Genomic DNA, 19,493 nt, shown 5'->3' with positions numbered 1-19,493 from the left:
ACCACACTCAGCTAATTTTTTGTATATTTAGTAGAGATGGGGTTTCACCATGTTGACCAGGCTGGTCTTGAACTTCTGACCTCAGGTGATCCACCTGCCTCAGCCTCCCAAAGTGCAGGGATTACAGGCATGAGGCACTGCATGGCTGTAATGCCAGCCACATTTTGTTAATTTTTCAGAGTATTCTTTCCTCATATTTGGCCAACACATGGAGAGTAATTAAATAATGAGTCACTGCCAATTCGATGGAAACAAAACATAGTACATATGGTTGTTCCTGATCTGAGAGTTGAACCTGAGAGCTGGGAAGTCTAAGCATGGATGGAGAACGAGAATCTGTTGTATAAAGTTAAAATTGAAATGGCATTTGGAGTCCCCTAAGCTGGGCTATCCTTGAGTACACACCATTTCAAGGAGCCAACGTGGAGTCTACGATGGAAATTTGCCCCATAGGAATATGAAAGTGCTGTGGCATAGAGTATTTTATAGAAGTTAAATGTCTAACCTTAATGGATTGCTAACGTTGGCTTAGATTATTGCTAATGACTACAGGATTTTACAGAATGTGATAAGCTTTGAAATAATGACTATATTAGTAACATAAGACCATGAGAGCAACTAACAGAATTATAACTAAGGAACCCTGTTACAGGCAATAGAATAACGATTGACTTCTATCTAAAACATCACCATTTATCTTTGAATATTTATCACTGGGGATGATTCTTAGAGCATTCATCAAAACCACAGCTTAATATCATCAAATTATTCCATTTCCACATTCTTTTAAAACTGTAACAGAAAAAAAAAAAACCCTTTCAATTCCTAGAGAACTCACCCGTTTGAGAGATTTCTTAGGTCTTCTCTATTCATTCACCATCATTCACTATTATGAGATTTTTGTGAATTGTTGCACCTGCGTTCTCCCTACCCGTTAAATATGCAATATCCTTTGTCATCCAGCTCAATCCTTAGAAAAAGGTACACACCCCCCTCACATACACAAACTCTGTTCTGTTTCAAGATACATCCAATGGAGCACCTTACCCTCACATGTACAAAGAGGGCAATGGAACTTGATAGCATATGGTATTGTGAGAATCACTGAGGCAAGAGCAAGCAACTCCTTCTGGTTGGTAATTGGAAAATCCTCCTCTTACATTGGGCAGAAATCATTTTTAACGCCTACTCCATATCTTTAAGCGAGAAGCTGTTATCTCCTCTGCAGGCTCTGTCATACTATAGGATGTGCTTCATTTCTAAACCTAGCAATCCTGACATCCTCATCACTCTGGAGAGAGCACAGTCATTCACTCATGCAAATCCGAGCACTGTCCAAAGGCAAAGGACTGTTCTGAGCGCTTGAGACACATCAGTGAACAACCTTGGTAAAAATCCCTGCCCCCACAGAGCTTAAATTCCCATGGGCAGAACACACAGTAAAAGGTAAACATGTTAGGAGATTATACAGTAGGTAAGAGAGTAAAAGGGGCTCAAAACATAGCAGGGTAAAGAGGATCTGGAGAATGTGTTGAGGACAGTGCAGCTTGGAGTTTCAAATGTTGAGCAAGGAAGTTGAAGGGGGTTGCCCATAGGGTTACCCATCTGGGGGCAGAAGGCACTGCCTCTGCAAATGCCCTAAAGTGTGAGTGGCCTTCCAGTATGAGGCACAGCAAGGAGGCCAGGATAGCTGCAACCAAGAGAAAGAAAGGGTGAGTGCCAGAGGTTGAGGCTTTTGCACTGAAGGGAGTAGGTGGTAAGAAGGGGAAGGTGGAAGCTGGAGACTAATTAGGAAGCTATTGCAACGGCCAGGTGAGGAAGGAAGGTGCCTGGAATGGGTGGAAATGGAGGAGACGGCAAGAGATGGCTGGGTCTCCATGGTGTTTAAAGCCTTGAGACTGAATGAGGCAGTGAGTGCAGAAAGAGGACAAAAAGGCTAAGAAACTTCAAGGCTAAAAACCTCCAAGATTGAGAGGCCAGGAGGAGGAGGAGAACCCTATCAATGAAACTGAGAAGGCATGCCCAGGGAGATAGGAGGAAGGCAAGCGGGCACAGTGTGCTGACAGCCAAGAGAAGAAACTATGTCAGAGGGGGAGGTGCAATCAAGAAAGATGATGGCTTAGATATAACCTGATAATTTTACAATATGGACCTCAATGGGGTCCTGGCTAGAGCAATTTGGTGGAATGCTGTAATTCTGGAAAGTCTTTCGCATGATATTTAATTTTAAAAAGTCAAGTGTAACTCAAATGAAATAATGCTGATTTACTAGGTATGTGAAATTATCGGTTAGGACCCGAGAGTTTCTTCATCACCAGCCTCATTAACTGTGTCACTAGTTTCATGCCCTGGTGTCAGCAATGCTCTGAACAGCAGCCTCCACACAACTCTAGATAAACAAAATATATGCACCTGTAATCTGGTCATCAGTCTCTATGTTAACAATCCATAGCAGTTTCCATTTCTTACACTCAATTCCATCAGTGGCTCACCAGATTGTATCAGCAATTGCTTGAAAATATTCCAAAAATATGAGTAAAATAGGAAAGCTGCCATTAGGGGTCTCATTTTTAAATTTTACAGAACACCTAAGCCTGATCTTCTCCATCCAGTTGTATAGATCTAGCTGGAGAGAAAGCAGATGTTTTAAGAACTCGAAATTGCTGAACTAATGTATACCCTTGTCTCTGTAATATGTTCCACAACATGGAACAATCCATACCACCTAGGCTTCTCTCTGCTAGACCATCATGCCTCCATGTCTTCTTATGTCACCTGGAAGGAGTTGAGACAGTGATTTAATTTCCCAGGACATGGAATAACTCTTAAAATGGAATTGTGATGTTGGTATAAAGCAAGTGGCCTTAATGATAAATGCTATTTTAATATCTTGAAATTATGTTATACAGGCATTCATTTCTAACGTTTCTTGAATATCAAATACAAAGTTAACAAGAAAAAGGAACATTAACAGAAATCTCTAAAAGTTAGAAATGTACAGGTAAAGACTAAAAATTGATAGGAGGTTTAGTTGTGTTTCCTACCCGGAAATCAAAATTTGAAAAGCAGTAAAGGCATTTGCCCTGCTCTGCCTCCTTCACATAGGTGCATTTCCTGTCCATTTCAGAAGCTAATTATGAAATGGCCACACAACTGGATGTTTCTGTTTATAAAATAGTGTTCCTTGGAGGGGCTTGCAACATCTAAATATCTTATGTCAGAATAAAAGCCACTGAGATCCAAAGAAGTGGACTAAACTTGACAATATCTGAAAGTCTTCTGCTGGACCAGGAACCCCTACAGTGGACAGTGTGCTTCCTGCTTTTCCACGCAGTTCGACAGGAAAACCATCCCAAAGTGAACAAAAATGGAAGCCTGCGAAGTTCATCATGCAAGACATTGATGCCACTCACGTCTTTGTGATAGCAGAATTGGTTAACGTCCTCCAGGAGCGAGCGGGTGAATTAATGGACCAAAATGCTTTTTCCCTTACCCAGAAATGAAAATACTCAATATGGACCATTCAGGAATTATAAGCAGCAAATGTGAAAGACTTGCCACTCGATATCTTAGGTGACTGATTAGACGTAGAGGGTTGTTTTAGTTGTTTTAGGAGCATGCCACGGGAAAGACCAAAGGATCATTTGTTCAGAAAAAAACCTGGAACTGATTTTGTTATACCATAGAATTAAAAAAAAAAAAAAAAAAAGCTTTAACAGTTGGCTGTAATTTGGCTTTTATTAACCTTCATTAAAATACAAATGCCAAAAAAAAATGGAAGCCCGCTTCAGGATCCATCCCTGGATGTTACTTATATTACATATTACCTGTAAGCATATGTACAGATACATTTTTATAGACTGACCATATAGTTAAGGTAATGTAAAGATCCAGACAAAATTAACAATGAATAGTACTTGAGTTTTTAGGTGGCTTAAATATTTTTTTCTTTTGTGAACTGACTGATATGATTTCTTTCTGGAGAATGAGTTACCTAGAACCAAGATCCTAGAACAGAAGAGTGAATTTTGTGAAATATTCTCCTTATCAAATTGACTGCCTTCGTGTTTGGAAAATGTAATTAAAAATCCATGTGACATAAACAGCAAAATTATAGCTATACTAAGGGGAAATTTTTCATGCGATTTATAAAAATCTTTAAATTTTACAGAGTTACGTGTTCTAATATGAGTCATGACTTGTAAGGACATAAAATAACAGTTATGAACTGCATAGAGAAGAGCTTCTGTTGAGCATCTTGTATTCGATTTTCTTGGAACATCTTTCTAATGAGCTGTCAATGAAAATTCAGCTGATTTAATGTCAATGCTGCCAACCACCAGTCCAGATCACTTGCATACTATGAAAATTCTTGGATGTCTTCACTTGTTTTAAATCAAGTTACCTCAATTTTATGGTTTCTATAAAACAACATTTGTAAAAATCTGAGACCTCTTTTGCTTTTTGTTTTGCATTTTAACTGATATTTACTTCAGATCTGTTTTCTGACATGCAGAGTTACATTTTTTTCTTCTAATAAACATGAGGAGGTATGGGATTAAGATAAGTGAGATGAACAAACATTAGATTTTATGCCAAGTGAGATATGAGGAATGTAAAGACATTTCCTTTCTTATGTATAGTTAAAGGGAAAGTCTTGAAAGAATGAATGTGATTATTCTTCTGGTTCTAAATGCTGAGTGATAAGAGAGTCTAAGTGAGACCTTTAGCCTTTGTGGTCTGAGTTAATGTGTGGTCTAGCCCTCCTTGATAGTCAAATGAGTTTTCAAGACTTGTTGCTACTTCCAACCTCTATGAGAATTTTCATTGTGCTGTCTCCTGCTATGCCTGCCAGTAAAAATGTGGCTGGCAGGATTCAGGATCTGATATTTATACCAACTTTCAAGTTGTGTATTTTATGAGTAGAAAACTGTCTTCCATGCCAAACATCTCACATTTGTGTATGCTTCTGGTGCCTATTATTTTCTTGTGTCTTTTACCTCCAAATAGTTTAAAGGAGCATAATTTTGATGTAGTCTAAGGATAGTGGAGTCTATGGTCACATTCCAAGTGACAGTGACTCTTCCCTTATTCAGATGAAAATGCAAGTGACACTAGTCAACTCTTTTCAGTGAATTGGCTGTGCTTGCGATGGGAAGCAAAGGTGTCAGTCCCAAAGTGGGAAGAGGAGCATGATTGCCTGGAAGACCAGGAGGGTAATCTGGCCATGCTGACTGTTTGACAGAGTCTGTTGTCAGCTTGCCAGGACACATGCTGGTCATCTTGACGTAGCCTAATATTGGCCCTGTCCAAAGCTATATTTCCAATCGGCATTCTGCCAAGGGCAGAGAATTGGTCATTGATGATACATCTCTCAGGTATATAAAGATATGACATTAGTGGGTTTTTTCCTGCCAGTTTGTCAGAGATAATGCTGCACATTTTCACAAAGCCCATTTCCCTTCCTCCTGGGCACACAGGTAGATTACATTCCCCAGCCTCCTCTGCAGTTGGAAGGAATCGTGTGACAATTTCTGGCTCGTAGAAGTGATGTATTGCCCTTCCAGGTCTGCCTCATGAAACCCATACCTGATCCTGTACATTCTCGCTCCTCTCAGCTAACAGCTGGACTCAGGGGATGTGAAGGACTGTGAGACCCCATGGTATGGTGGAGTAATAGCTGCAAGGAGCATCATTTCTAAATGGCTGTTTGGAACACAGCCCCCCACCCCACACTCCACTGAGCTGCACTGGATATTCCATTTTCCATTGTTAAGCCACTAGGATTTGGAAGATGTGGGTTATGGTAGTTGGCCGACTGTACACAGTTGGAAAAACTGTAGAGCTAGCAGACTCTATAATATAATATGCAAATGTGCCTTAGTAGATTTAGTGATTATACATAAAACGTGTTATCAAGGGTAAACTTTCTGTTTTTATTATTCTTTTAACTTTTATTTTAAGTTCAGGGGTACATGTGCAGGTTTGTTATATAGATAGATTGATAGCATGTTACGGGGGTTACTGTGTGTTATGGGGGGTTTGTGTGCAGATTATTTCATGACCCAGGTAATAAGCATAGTACTTGATAGGTAGTTTTTCAACCCTCACCTCCTCCCACCTTCCACCCTCAAGTAGGCTGTGGTGTTTGTTATTCCCTTCTTTGTGTCCATATGTACTCAATGTTTAGCTCCCACTTATACTTGAGAACATGTAGAATTTGGTTTTCTTCTCCTGTGTTAGTTTGCTTAGAAAATGACCTCTAGCTCCATCCATGTTGCTGCAAAGGACATCATCTTGTCCTTTTTTATGGCTGCATGGTATTCCATGGTGTGTATATACCATATCTTCTTTATCAAGTCTACCATTGATGAGCATTTATGTTGATTCCATGTCTTTGCTATTGTGAATGATGCTGCAATGAATATATGCGTGCATGTGTCTTTATGATAAAATGATTTATATTCCTTTAGGTATAGACCCAATAATGGGATTACTGGGTCAATGATAGTTCTGTTTTAAGTTCTATCAGAAATCACCAAATGCTTTCCACAATGGTTGACCTAATTTACATCTCCACCAGCAGTGTATAAGCATTCAGGGGTAAATTTTTAAAAAGATAGGTGAATAATGTTAGAAACTCACATCCATTGGTGCTATGATTTTGAAAGAATACAAGAAAAAACACCAGAGAATTTCACTTTTCTATTCCATTTAAAAGCATTTAAATTACATGTATGTCTTTTGGACAGTGCTGCTTAAACATTTCTGCCTACTGATAGAATAAGAGTTATTCTATTGAGACTAAAGGATGCACAGACATTGATTCTTTTAACTCCCAAAACAAAATTATCTTTTTTACTTTATCTGAAAGGAGCATTTTTATAATCTATAAAAATAGACTTGAACCTGTTTAATCGAATTCCAAATTGGTACCCAAATTAAAGTTTGCCAGATTATATTTTTATAAAGTATATTTTACCTTTAATTTCTCAATGAATTAAAATAAGTTAAACAAGGAAGTTAAAATTTCTTTTTACAAAGTATTTTGCATTGAATCCTTATGCAATTTCTAATTCTCCCAGTAACTTTCTAGCCGCATCTATCTTTTCAAAGAGCCTCCCAGGCAATTCATCATTATTAAATGACTTAAGGAAATGAAAAATGTTCCCCAAAACCTTTTTTATTTTTTGTGTTTATGGGTTGGTGTCCTATAAAAGAATGGTGAATACAGAATTGAAATTCATCATTAGGTCCAATTAGGATCAAATATTTACTATGCATCAGCAGCTGCACTGAATGCACTTCCTCAGATGGAAATTGTTTATGGCTAACGTGCTGTAGCAGCCACGAAGCCCTCATGGCCGTGGTCACTGGTTCTGAGATCAGTTTCCTCCTTGTGGAATGTCTTTCATCTTAGTAGCAGCGGCTTTGTATATTTGGCTAGAATTTCCCCAGTACTCTAAGTGTGGCATATTAATGTCAATTTAAAGATCAACTATTGTGAATAATAGGCATGCCATATTTCCTTGCCGGCTAAACATCCATTAAGTACCTCAAAAGGGATACAGATTCTTCAGGATATATATTTTGCATGACTAAATGGGTCAGAATTCATTAGCAATTTGGAAGGATAAATAGAAAATGGAACCAGTAGCTGGGTTTCATTAAGTTGTCGCTTCTTTCAATCTTCTTTAAGGTTATTTTCCACTTATTCTATCTGAATTATTTCTGTAAAGGACTGTGCTTAGCATGTCATTGCTTTCCATCGGCATGATTTTGACAGAAGTAATTTCAGTTTTTTAAGAAAAGGGTGATGAAGCTGAATATATCTTTTTAAAAGTCTGCTGCAGGGCTGGGCACGGTGGCTCACGCCTGTAATCCCAGCACTTTGGGAGGCCGAGGCGGGCAGATCACAAGGTCAGGAGATCGAGACCATCCTGGCCAACACGGTGAAACCCCATATCTACTAAAAAATACAAAAAATTAGCTGGGTGTGGTGGCGGGCGCCTGTAGTCCAAGCTACTCGGGAGGCTGAGGCAGGAGAATGGCGCGAACCCGGGAGGCGGAGCTTGCAGTGAGCCAAGATCGTGCCACTGCACTCCAGCCTGGGCGACAGAGCGAGACTCTGTCTCATATAAGTAAATAAATAAATAAATAAAAGTCTGCTGCAGTATATGTACATATTTTAAAATTCTAACTACAGTAATAAATGTTGCTTACATTTGTTTTTAATAAATGCATAATGTTAACATTTGTCAACTGTACAATACTGGGTAATGTTTATTTTTAAGATACTTTTCTGTTTTCCCTGGGATCCTCTAAATTTGGTTTCTCAGCCTTGGTGCCATTGACATCTGGAGCCAGGTTGTGGGATCTTCTTGCGTGCTGCTGGGTGTTCAGCAGCGTCTCTGTCCTCTACCCACACGATGGCAGTTAGCACCCCCATCCCCACTGCCAGCTGTGGCAACCAAAACTGTCTCCCAGTTGTCAAATGTTCCCTGGGGAGCAAAATCGCCATGGTTGAGCACCACTATCCTAGATAATAACATATTTTTAAATCGCACCTTAATGCAAAGGTACTCTGCTTGTTTGCGATGCTGACTCTCTAGCAAAAACCCCTCTCCAGTGCATCTTGGAGTTGTTATCCCCACTGCTCCTGTGCAGAAGCTTCTCCTGTGGAATGTCAGGCATCTTTCCTTGACTTCCCTTCTCCCTGTATTTCCTCTCCCCTCTGATGCCCTAGCCTCTTTCGTTCATGTGTACGTGTGCACACACACACATTCTGTCTCTGTTGTGGTCAGTATGTATCTACACTCTTTGGAGTGGTGCCTTCACCATCTTCTGAGGACCTACTGGGCAGCTGCCTCTCCTGCACCTCCCTCTCATGCTAGAATCAGTCCTCATCTGCCCTCATCAAGCTTGGTCAGAGGTTGCCTTTGCCTAAGGATACCTGTTTCTTGCTCCTTTTTCACCTAATTTAGCAAAATGTCCAAGATGATCACCAAACTTCTGTCATCTTGCTTTGTCTCATCTCTTCTCACTTTGTCTCATCTCGCTTTGTCTCAGCCTGTCTCGTTTCGGTTTGCCCTTGGTCTTCCTCATCTCTTGATTCTCAGTGTAGTTCCTAACATCCAAACTGACTTAGCCACCTACATGCTTCTCAAAAAGTTCATTTCGTCCCTGTCCTTTACCTCAATCCTACCTGGACAGTTCCTGAATTTCTCTCTCTTTCTCTTTTTTTTTTTTTTTTTTTAGTATTTAGAGCTAAGAGCATTCCTTTACCATTTAATGGAAGAACCCATGTTATATAACAATTCCTCTATGATTTGTTGAGCCCTTGTTTAAATCCTGTATCATGAACTTTTCGTGTGGTATGTTTTGTCTCCCCAAACAAGGCAATAAACTTTTTGAGACAGAAACTATATTGTAAATTTTTTTTGGATCGCTAAAGTGCCTTATATATCATGTACATTTGAATGCTATTTGCTCATGTGATTTGAATTCCAACTCCTTGACCCACCTAAGGTCAAGGAGAAGAGAGAGAAATGATATCAAAAGGGCAGGGGGAAGAAATAAGGGTTCCTAAGCAGCTTGTACCTTACCCCCAACTTTCCAAATGTAATTGACAGCCAAAAATCTAAATCAAGAGCCCAGTTTTCTTATTCAAATTGTCTGTCACTCATGAGCACTACTCACTGCACCAAAGGGAGCATTTTATTCTCAAACTAGCAATAGAGGTTGAAAGTTATTGTTTGTTTGTTATTTTAGAATTAATGTATTTTCAATATGGTACCAAATAACTGTGTAAGGAGTGTATTAGCCAGCTTAATCAATAAACTTCAGCAAGGATCGGATGTTGGGGACTGCACAGCAGCAATTGATCCACTGCAGAGCTTTCTGTGGTGCAGTGTGAGTGGGACACTGGAACAGCATGTGTAATAATCTTAGCTGTTATACTCTGATGGGTCCTATGATGCTACGGAATATGTGAGTCTTTTCACACCTATGATTGGAGCCACGTGGATCCTGAATGCAGACCCGCTCTCAGTTCTTCCTGTTTCCACTGTTTCCAAACACACAGTGTTGTCGGGATTATGAGCAAATTTAAGCCTATGGTTTGATGGTGATGAAATGAAGCAGGATTTTACAATTTGTTCATAATTGGTATACACAGTGAACACTTAAAAAATCATGCTTTGCCATCCTTTTCTTTTTGCCCATGAGGAATAGTTTCGAAAGAGTTCTTAAGAACTTGCTGTGAGTTACATGTCTAGTGAGTGGCAGGGCAGGGGTGCTAACCTGGGTCTGTGGGACACTCCGGCGTCCAGCTTTAGTCCACTGCACGTAGTGTCTTTCTGCAACATGCAGATCTGAACAGAGGGTGGTATTTGCACATATCCACGTAAGTGGGGACATTTGAACAGTTAACTGTTTCCCCAGTGAGTTCTCTTAGCAACCAACCTTCCAGTGTTTGGTGTTTATAGATGGAAAATGAAGCCATAGCCCCATGACAGAGCAGCAGGAGAGCAACAGTCCCCAAAGAATAACTTCTCATTTCTGTTAATAAGGAGCCTAATGGGTGGACGTTTAGTCAGCATGCATTTTCTCTCTTTGGTTGCATTAAGAGCTGTGGTCTCTATTTCTGCATTTGTTTTCTCTAAATGAGCAACTGAAACTATTTCATTAGATCCATAAACTCCTGGCAAACTAGTCTATCTGGCCCATTCTGCTTTTGCACCAAAATTATTACCTTAAACACTAATGCATACATTGAACTAATGTATCTTTACTGTTTCTTCTCTCCATAAAATTCTACTGGTCTAAAAGTCCATATACCCTAAGGTAACACAGTGTCACACACTTATGTCTGTAATTCTGAGCCAGAATGACCAGGAATCAGAGGTCTGTGTGATTGATTAATTGATTTTCAATCCCATCAGGATTTCATCTTAAAAGTTTTTTTTCTTTCTTGTCATTGCTTAATACAAAATGACGACTCTATCTCCTTCTCCCTGAAGGGTGACTCTCAATGGGATATCAAGAAGGCAGGAAGATCAAAACAATTAAATCTTCTCTGACAGCTCTGCTGTTCCCAGAGGGTGGCTCAGAGAAGGAGCAGTTCCTAGGAGCTGCTCTTGGCAACAACCTCAGGCCATCATCAGGCTGTTGAGCTATGGCAATCCCAGTCCCCAGTTGCTTTCATGCTGACTGTCCCTGCACCTGTCTCCCTCCCAGATGGCTTGGAGCAGCATCCACATCCCAAACCCTCCCTGAACACCACTCCAGTGGTTAGCTGGGGCAATGTGCCTGCCGATCCCTACTGGTGGCTGTGGAGTTCCCTAAAAGGTTCTTGCTATAATCTTTTTTTAAAAGCCAAAACAGCAGCAAGCCGAGCCATACTTCTAACATCTTTTTGGGAACTTTCTGCCGTGCTCTGAGTTTGAATACCATCTTAGCTTGGGGCTCTCCTGCATTCTTCCCCAGGTCCTCATCCAAGAATATTGTAAATGGGGCCCCTCATTCTCAGGTGGAAAGGTGCTTCTTGGAGTAGGGCACAGAAGCTCATCAATAAATGAGGCTCCAGAAACAGCCTAGGGAAATCCTCCACTTGCCGAAGGCAAAATGTAAACCAGCTCTAATCATAAGCCAGGTTTAGCTATCATTTTTCAGTATACTACTTGAACTATCCAAACTGATGAGTGAGTTCACTAACAAAATCTAATTGAATGGGAAAATTATTTTGAGGTAGTTAACATATCAACCTTATTTATTCCTAAAATGCCACTAATGGCAAAACTGCAGATGCAAAATCCGTAACACACCATCTCTCGTCATCAGTGCTGAGGTCCTTAAAATTGCTCGTGAGGCCTCCCTTGCTAAGCTGGCATCCTGTGGAGGCTGCTTTTGCTTCTGTGTGGTGGGGGGGCTTAGGCAGTCCTTCAAGATTTCAGAGCCCTACTTCCCAGCTCGCCTTACTCCAAATTCTGGAAGCAGATGTCAGTGTGGAAGAATAAGATTGATGGAGACTAGACTATGAAAATATTTTCAAGACCATATTGCCTAAATCAAAACCAGCATGATTGAAAATTCTCCCTGAAGAATACGCGGGGCTCCTGGTGACAGAGCCAGTCACACACAGCAACTGCACTCCTCGCACGCCGAGGCCCTGAGCTGCAACTTACTTCATGAAAGCCCAGCCCTACCTGATGAAGCCCCAGTCATGTGCCCAGATATGGTACAGCTAGATGCTAATTTTCTAGTTCCAAAGCAAGTCACCAAGAGCAGGGCTCTCTACCTTACAGTGGGCCACCCGAAAACTTACAAAATGTACCTTAAATAAAAGCAAGCTTTGTTACCAGATTTTAGCACAGCTTAAAATGAGCCAGGGAGAAATGTGAGCATCTGTGGAAGCAGCAAAGACCTTGTTTTTTTTTTGAAACTGAGTCTCACTCTGTTACCCAGGCTAGAGTGCAGTGTTACGGTCTCAGCTCACTGCAACCTCCGCCTCCTGGGTTCAAGTGATTCTCCTGCCTCAGCCTCCCAAGTAGCTGGGATTACCGGCGCCCTCCACCGTGCCCGGCTAATTTTTTGTATTTTCGGTAGAGACGGGGTTTCACCATGTTGGCCAGGCTGGTCTCGAGCTCCTGATGTGCCCACTTCGACCTCCCAAAGTGCTGGGATTACAGGTGTGAGCCACCGCGCCCGAGCAAAGGCCAATTTTTCACAGCTCCAGGCACGGAGTAGTGCAGGCTGGGGGAGGACGAGGAGAAACCACTGCCCTGACCACCATGGGCCTGACTCATCTGTCCAGGGCCACAGTGGGGAGCAGCAAGTGACCAGTGACGGTGGTGTCCTGGAAGCTTGTGCTGCCCCTGAGACAGGGCCCAAGTGCCTTGTCTTCTATGGGGCTCTTCACAGAGGGGCCAGGTACCCCTGAGCACACTGCCATGAACTTGTGCCCTCTGCTTCTTTCCAGTCAGATCACTGACTATTGACTAATGCTTACACTCAAGCGTTTGCAAGAAATTCAAATTACTGGTCCTACAATAAAGTCACATCCCTTGTTCATCGTTTAAAGCCTGCAGGTTGTATTAGTCTGCTTGGGCTTCCATAACAAAGTACCACAGACTGGTGGCTTTGATGGCAGAAATTTATTTCTCAAAGTTCTCCAGGCTCGAGGTCCAAGATCAAGGTGAGAGCAGGTCTGGTTTCTTCTGAAGCCTTCCTCCTTGTCTTGCCGACGGCCACCTTCTTGCTGTGATCTCATATGGCCTTTCCTCTATGAATGCATCCCTGGTGTCTGGTGTCTTTTTTGTGTGTCCAAATTTCCTCCTTTTTTGTTTCGAGACAAGTCTCACACTGTTGCCCAGGCTGGAGTGCAGTGGCATCATAGGCGTGAGCCACTGCGCCCGGCACTCTTCTTAAGGACACCAGCTAGATTGGATTAAGGCCCACCCTAATGACTTCAGTTTAACTTTTCCCCTCTTTAAAGTCCCTGTCTTCAAATACAGGGCACAGGCACATTCTGAGGTCCTAGGGGGCCAGTCCTTCGATACATGAATTTAAGAGGGCACAATTCAGCCCATAACAAGGCTGCAACAAATTTGGTGGAAAATCTGGTAGATGGGAGAAGAAAGTCTCTTCATAAAGTGGTAGATTCTTACAGAGTCTAAGCCTCACACAAGAGTATTTTGCTTGGGTATTCCTCACCATGTGTCAACCACAGGATGCATTTCTCAGCTTGTCCTAACTTGGCCTGGTCTGGGACTGCTAACTCCATTCCCACCTAAGAAACTCTAACCAGATAAGGCCGGGCGCGGTGGCCCACACCTGTAATCCCAGCACTCTGGGAAGCCGAGGCAGGAGGACCACTTGAGGTCAGAAGTTCGAGAACCAGCCTGGCCAACATGGTGAAACTCTGTCTCTACTAAAAATACAAAAATTAGCCAGGCATGGTGGTGCACACCTCTAGTCCCAGCTACTCGGGAGGCTGAGGCAGGAGAATTGCTTGAACCCAGGACGCGGAGGTTGCAGCGAGCCAAGATGGTGCCACTGCCCTGCAGCCTGGGCGACAGAGTGAGACTCTGTGTCAAAAAAGAACAAAAAGAAAAAGAAGAAACTCTAACCAGATAAGAGAGACTACGTGGATCCAAAGAAATCCATCGCCCTTCTGAAAAACACCCCTGAAACCATGCCTTCTGGTGATGTCCGCGGAGGACTTTGAGACACAACTACGAGTGTTTGAATTCTGTCGCGAGTGAGTCCTCTTTCCATGACCTTTCAAGTCCCAGAGGCGCAGAGAAAACATTGTCTCCTGTAAATCTTACCCAAAGGCCCCTTGATGAAAAGCCACCTGCTGCTTTTCCCTCTATGCTTCTGTCACTTTGTTATTCCCTCTATTATTTCTTCTGCTGCTTCCTTTTCTGTAGTTCACAGAGTGGGAGGATAGAGTTAGGACTTTGGTGATATCGTTTGCTTCTCTTTCTGTAGAGACAACAAAAATGTGACCAGGAAACATATCTGTGAGGCTTAGGCTGCCTCACTTTTCAGAGAGGCCAAAATGGCAGTAACAGTCATGGCCAAGAGCAGTCACTGCAGCGATCAGTCACACAGGCTTTCCTCCCCACGTAGCCCGAGGGATGTCTTCAAATCGGGGGAGGGGGTAGATAGGCTTAAAAATGAAATATATCCGTTGAAGAAAACTAAAAAGAGAATGCATTTGTCTATTGCTGTTTTGTCTTTTGGCTGTGGAAATAATATTTAAATTTAAATTCTCTCCAAGTATTAATCTAAGTATTCTACTAAATATAGCTATTAAGTATAGTGTGATTGCTTGCAGTCTAAGGAAATTTGTAATAGGTCGCCATCAAATCAGGATCTGCACCTCGGGTGCACAGGTGCTATGAGGAAGATGTGATGTGAGGTTGGAAGGAGCCCACTGTGGCTTCAGTCCTCCTTGTCTACCTGAGCATAAGTCTGGACCATGATTAGTTAATTCTTAACGCAAGTGAAGCAGGCATTTTTTTTAAGACAACTGTCTAAAAAATATGAACGCCAAAAATTGGAACAGTCCCTGATCTCTCCTTACTTGCGGGAGAATCTGGGAGGTCTAGTTTGTGTTCTTACTGGCCATGTTCAGGTTGGTGCTCCCCTACCACCGGCATGCACTCTCGGATAGAGACACTGCTTCCCTAGTCCCCACTGACAGCACCTGCTCGGGCATCTTTGCAGCATCCCTCCCTCTCCATCCCTGATTAGTCCCACATCCACCTTCCCCCGCTGCAATGGAGATGTACTCACTGCCTGTATGCCCACCTACCTCAGAACAAGCCACCTGCATCACACAGGGAGAGCGGCCAGGTACTGTCCATCCCTGAGCCGGCCCACAAGTGTCTTCTGTTTTCTTTACCCTCTCCTTAGCACCAGCTGCCTAACAAAGTCAGCGGGCAGCCAGGGCAAAGAACAGTTTGGGCGACTTCAATATGACTCTCTCTTCTGAGCCCCCAATCCAAAAGAAGGCTCACCCTTAGTGAATGTGCCTTTGCCAGAGGGTCTTCCCTAGGGTGAAGGGGAAAATCATGTTTCACAATTTCAGGGAAGTCTGAATGGTAGGAGCCAGGTTTTCACATTCTGGTCTTTAATGCATAGTGGCCATTCATTCCATTAGGCTTCTTATGTCATGACATAATTTCATCTCTGAATGTTGGACCATTTGGTGGACTTGGACATTGTCAGTTCATCAAACAGTTTTGAATTTGTGGAAAGTTCTCATTCTGAGATTCTGAACATTCAAAGATTAATCCGATGTGGCAGGCTCATTAGTGCCACCACCTGCCTGCATGGTTTGCAAGATAACATCACTTCATTGTTTGATTTGAGCTAAAGAAGATTAATGATCTGAACAATGATAATTTATCAATATTCTTCTATGAAATTCAACCAAAACCATAGATCTCGTTTCGTGATGCAGAGTCTAAAATAGTCAATGGACTATTTCTAGCCCAACAGTACACTGTAGACTAGAGTAATATGCTGATTTAGTGAAACAGAAACCTGGATCCAAAACCCACAAAGTACTCTTGGGGACCCTGGAAAAGCCTGCATGGACCTCCTACAGTTCAAGTTCCACATGAATGCAATAATGCATACAATGGGGTACATTGTTTCAAAACCACCAGCCCACATGTAATCATTGTGTAATTGAATAATTATAATAGCATCCAACCATATGAAATTTTAGGAAGTGAAAATTGGAGATCAAATAACAAAAAAAGAGAGAAGGGAAGGAGGAGGAAGAAGAGGAAAAGGAGGAGGAGGGGGAGAAGAGAAAGGGGGAAGTGGAAGAGGAGGAGGAAAGGAAGGGGGAGAAGGAGGAAGAAGGGGAAGAAAGTGGAAATGGGAGAGGAGGGAAAGGGGAAAGGTGAGGGGGACAGGAGGAGGAGGAGGGGAGGAAGAAGAAGGAGAAGGAGAAGAAGGAGGAGGAGAAAGAGGAGGAGGAGGAAAGAAAATAGAAGAAGGAGAAGGAGAAGAAGAAGGAGGAGGAGAAAGAGGAGGAGGAGGAGGAAAGAAAATAGAAGGAGGAGGAGGAGGAAAGAAGATAGAAGAAGAGGAAGAAGGAGGAGGAAGAGGAATAAGAAGAAGAAGGAGAAGAAAGAACCAGAAGAGGAGGAGGAGGAGGAAGAGGAGGAAGAAATCATCTGAATCAGGAGGAGGAGGGGCTCACCATCAGAGTCTTAGTTTGCCCTGTCCTTCCACTCATTTGCTACCTGAACCCTCTTTCATGTAGAATTTGTGGGAGTTGGGGAGGGGAATGCAATGTGACTGAATAGATTTTGAAGCTAACAGAGTTCTAAACTACTAGGTGTGTACATGGAAAGGAGGTGATAAATCATTGTGTATCACAGTTTTTAGCTCTATGTTTTCATCCTCAGCAATGAAGGACAATGTGGAAGAAGCCATCACGAAACTCAGCCTGGTTTGGGACTGCTTTTGCTTCCGAAGGGCTATTTGTCTGTTCTTCACCATCCCAGGTAGCAAATGGGGAGCAAATTGGGAAATCTGCGCAAAATTAATAGCCCTATCAGGAATCAAGCGGGTATGCCAGAGAGAGAGTTGAAAACAGTCTGGGTTTTCATGCTGCACCAAAATTTAGTGAGCTCAAAAGACTTATTAACAGCAAATTTCCCCTAAGCAGCATGTTGTCAAACTAGCCTGCCTCACTAGGATGCCACGAAAAAATAATAAATGGAAATTATTGTAAAAATATAATTTAAAAAGGACAATGTGTCTAATAGAGTAGCACTCCGGAACCTCAACCTTACCCCCTTTCTAACCTTGAGATCTAAGGCTTAGATCTAGATTTCTTTCACAGATGGGTGTAAAGGAGATGCCTCTCCAGGAAACCAGCTGGTCGCCACCACGTCCAAAGGGCTGGGAGGTGCATTCGCTGTGCCCGCGGGGCTCTTTAGAGGTTAGGATGGTGCTGACTCATGCTGCAAGTTGTGCAGCTGTGGAGTGTGTCAGATAGAGTGCAGACAGTCTGAACTTCAGAAGCTCGTGTGTCCCAGGTGTGCAAATCCCACATCAAGTAGCACAGGTCAAGGCTTAGGACACGCCCAGAATCTAATGTGTCAGATTCATGAATGATTTTGGCAAATATTCCTCTTGCCTGACTTTCCTACATTTTCTCTCCTTTTCACTATAGCAAATATATCTTTATTTATGATTCTCACCTCATTTAGTTAAAACCTTTGCTAAAAGTTTATTTTTATTGTTACCGTGATAACAGCTAATGGCATGTGAGTGTTTACTGTGTCAAAGGCTCTATGATGTATAGTTTAGGGGGATATCTTATTGGATCCTTGAAGAAAAATGCCCTGGAATGGAAAATCCACGAGGCTGTGGCCTCTTAATCTGTGCTGGACATTTCTGGATCCGTATGTCTGGGCAGTAGTAGGTGCTCGATGGATATTTACTGAAGGAATGAACAAACGGATAGAAGACTAAAAGAACAATCTATGAAGCAGGTGCCTTATTATTCCCATCTTGTGATATGCAAGGTTAAGTGGCCAATCAATGGTGGCAATGAGATTCAAAGCCAGGCAGTCTGTCTGCACAGTCATGCTCCTGGGTGCATATGTTTATTTAGGCCTGTGGTTTTTGCTTTGTTTTGTTTTGTGTTTTAATTCACCACTTGCTTTAGCCCTAAAGTGCCAGCCAACAGCCTTGAAAAATAAGATTCTCAAGGGTTGTTTGAACACTACCCCCAAACTGTGTAGCCAGGGCTGGCCCCTGAGAGCTAGAGATTATCGTCTTCATCAGAATTAGCAGAGAAAACAAGCCAGAGAGACAAGTCCAATCAGAAATAATGCAGAGGAGCCAAGATGCCGATTTCAGAGAAAGGCAAATCAGCGGATGGGGAGGGCCTCCAGCCTTGGCAGGACCAGCAGCTGTATCAAACATGAACTGTTGGGAAATGTAGGTGGTGAGACAAAGTGAGCACAGGTCAGGGTCAGTGAGTGAAGGACCCGTGGGGCGGGAGGCCACGAGCACCCTAATACTTACCTCAAAGGACAAGCATTTGAGTTGGCTCCCAAAAACCAGCCCAGTGTATGATTTCTGGCTGGGTATGTCCAATGCTATGGACCAGAAGTAAAGCAGGTAATTTTTTTTTAAATGTATTTTAATTTATTTTATGTAGACCCTGTTGCTGTGTTCAAGCAGGGCCACAAGAGCAGGAGTATGTGATAAAAAGTGAGGACAGGCCGGGTGCGGTGGCTCACGCCTGTAATCCCAGCACTTTGGGAGGCCAAGGCGGGCATTTGAGGTCAAGAGTTTGAGACCAGCCTGGTCAACATGGTGAAACTCCATCTGTACTAAAAATACAAAAATTAGCTCCGGTGACTGAGGCAGGAGAATCTCTTGAACCTGGGAGGTGGAGGTTGCAGTGAGCCGAGATCATGCCACTGCACTTCAGCCTGGGCGACAGAGCGAGACTCCCCCTCAAAAAAAAAAAAAAAAACAAAAAAAAAAGAAAAGAAAGAAAGAAAAGTGAGGAGAGGGCAGCTCTTGGGCCTGACCTCTGTTCCTAATGCAATTGCAGGACTGAAGAAGAAAAAAGTACTTTTCATGCATGTCCCTCTGTTATTCTCTCTGCCTTTCTTCTACTTGAGTCCTCTTGCCCTTTCTGACATAATGCTAAAGGTTTCTAACGATGCCCCTCTTTACTGTCTTATGTTACATTATGCCTACTTGTGTTCATAGACAGAGTCATATTTAGTCAAGGTACTGACCACAGGTCCTAATTTTGCAAATTTTGGTTAGACTTTCTCGACATATTTTTGGAGTCTGAGTCTATGCCAGAGAATCAGTGCATGCTAGGCTGAGTTGGTGCTGGTTTGAGTTGGTGCTGGTTTGAGTTGGTGCTGGTCCGAGTTAGTGCTGGTTTGAGTTCGTGCTGATCTGAGTTGGTGCTGGGCTGAGTTTGTGCT

At 42.5% G+C, this 19,493-nt stretch overlaps 1 protein-coding gene across 36 annotated transcripts in view; it reads left to right on the top strand.

The window, feature by feature from the left end:
• SORBS2 (sorbin and SH3 domain containing 2) overlaps positions 1-19,493 on the top strand; it is a 370,850-nt gene that overhangs the window by 195,944 nt on the left and 155,413 nt on the right. The gene's annotated exons all lie outside the window — the stretch shown is intronic.

Source organism: Homo sapiens, chromosome 4, assembly GCF_000001405.40.
Source record: "Homo sapiens chromosome 4, GRCh38.p14 Primary Assembly".
Classification (NCBI taxonomy): domain Eukaryota; kingdom Metazoa; phylum Chordata; class Mammalia; order Primates; family Hominidae; genus Homo; species Homo sapiens.
The sequence above is the reverse complement of the archived record's forward strand: the minus strand, read 5'-3'. Positions and strand labels throughout refer to the sequence as shown.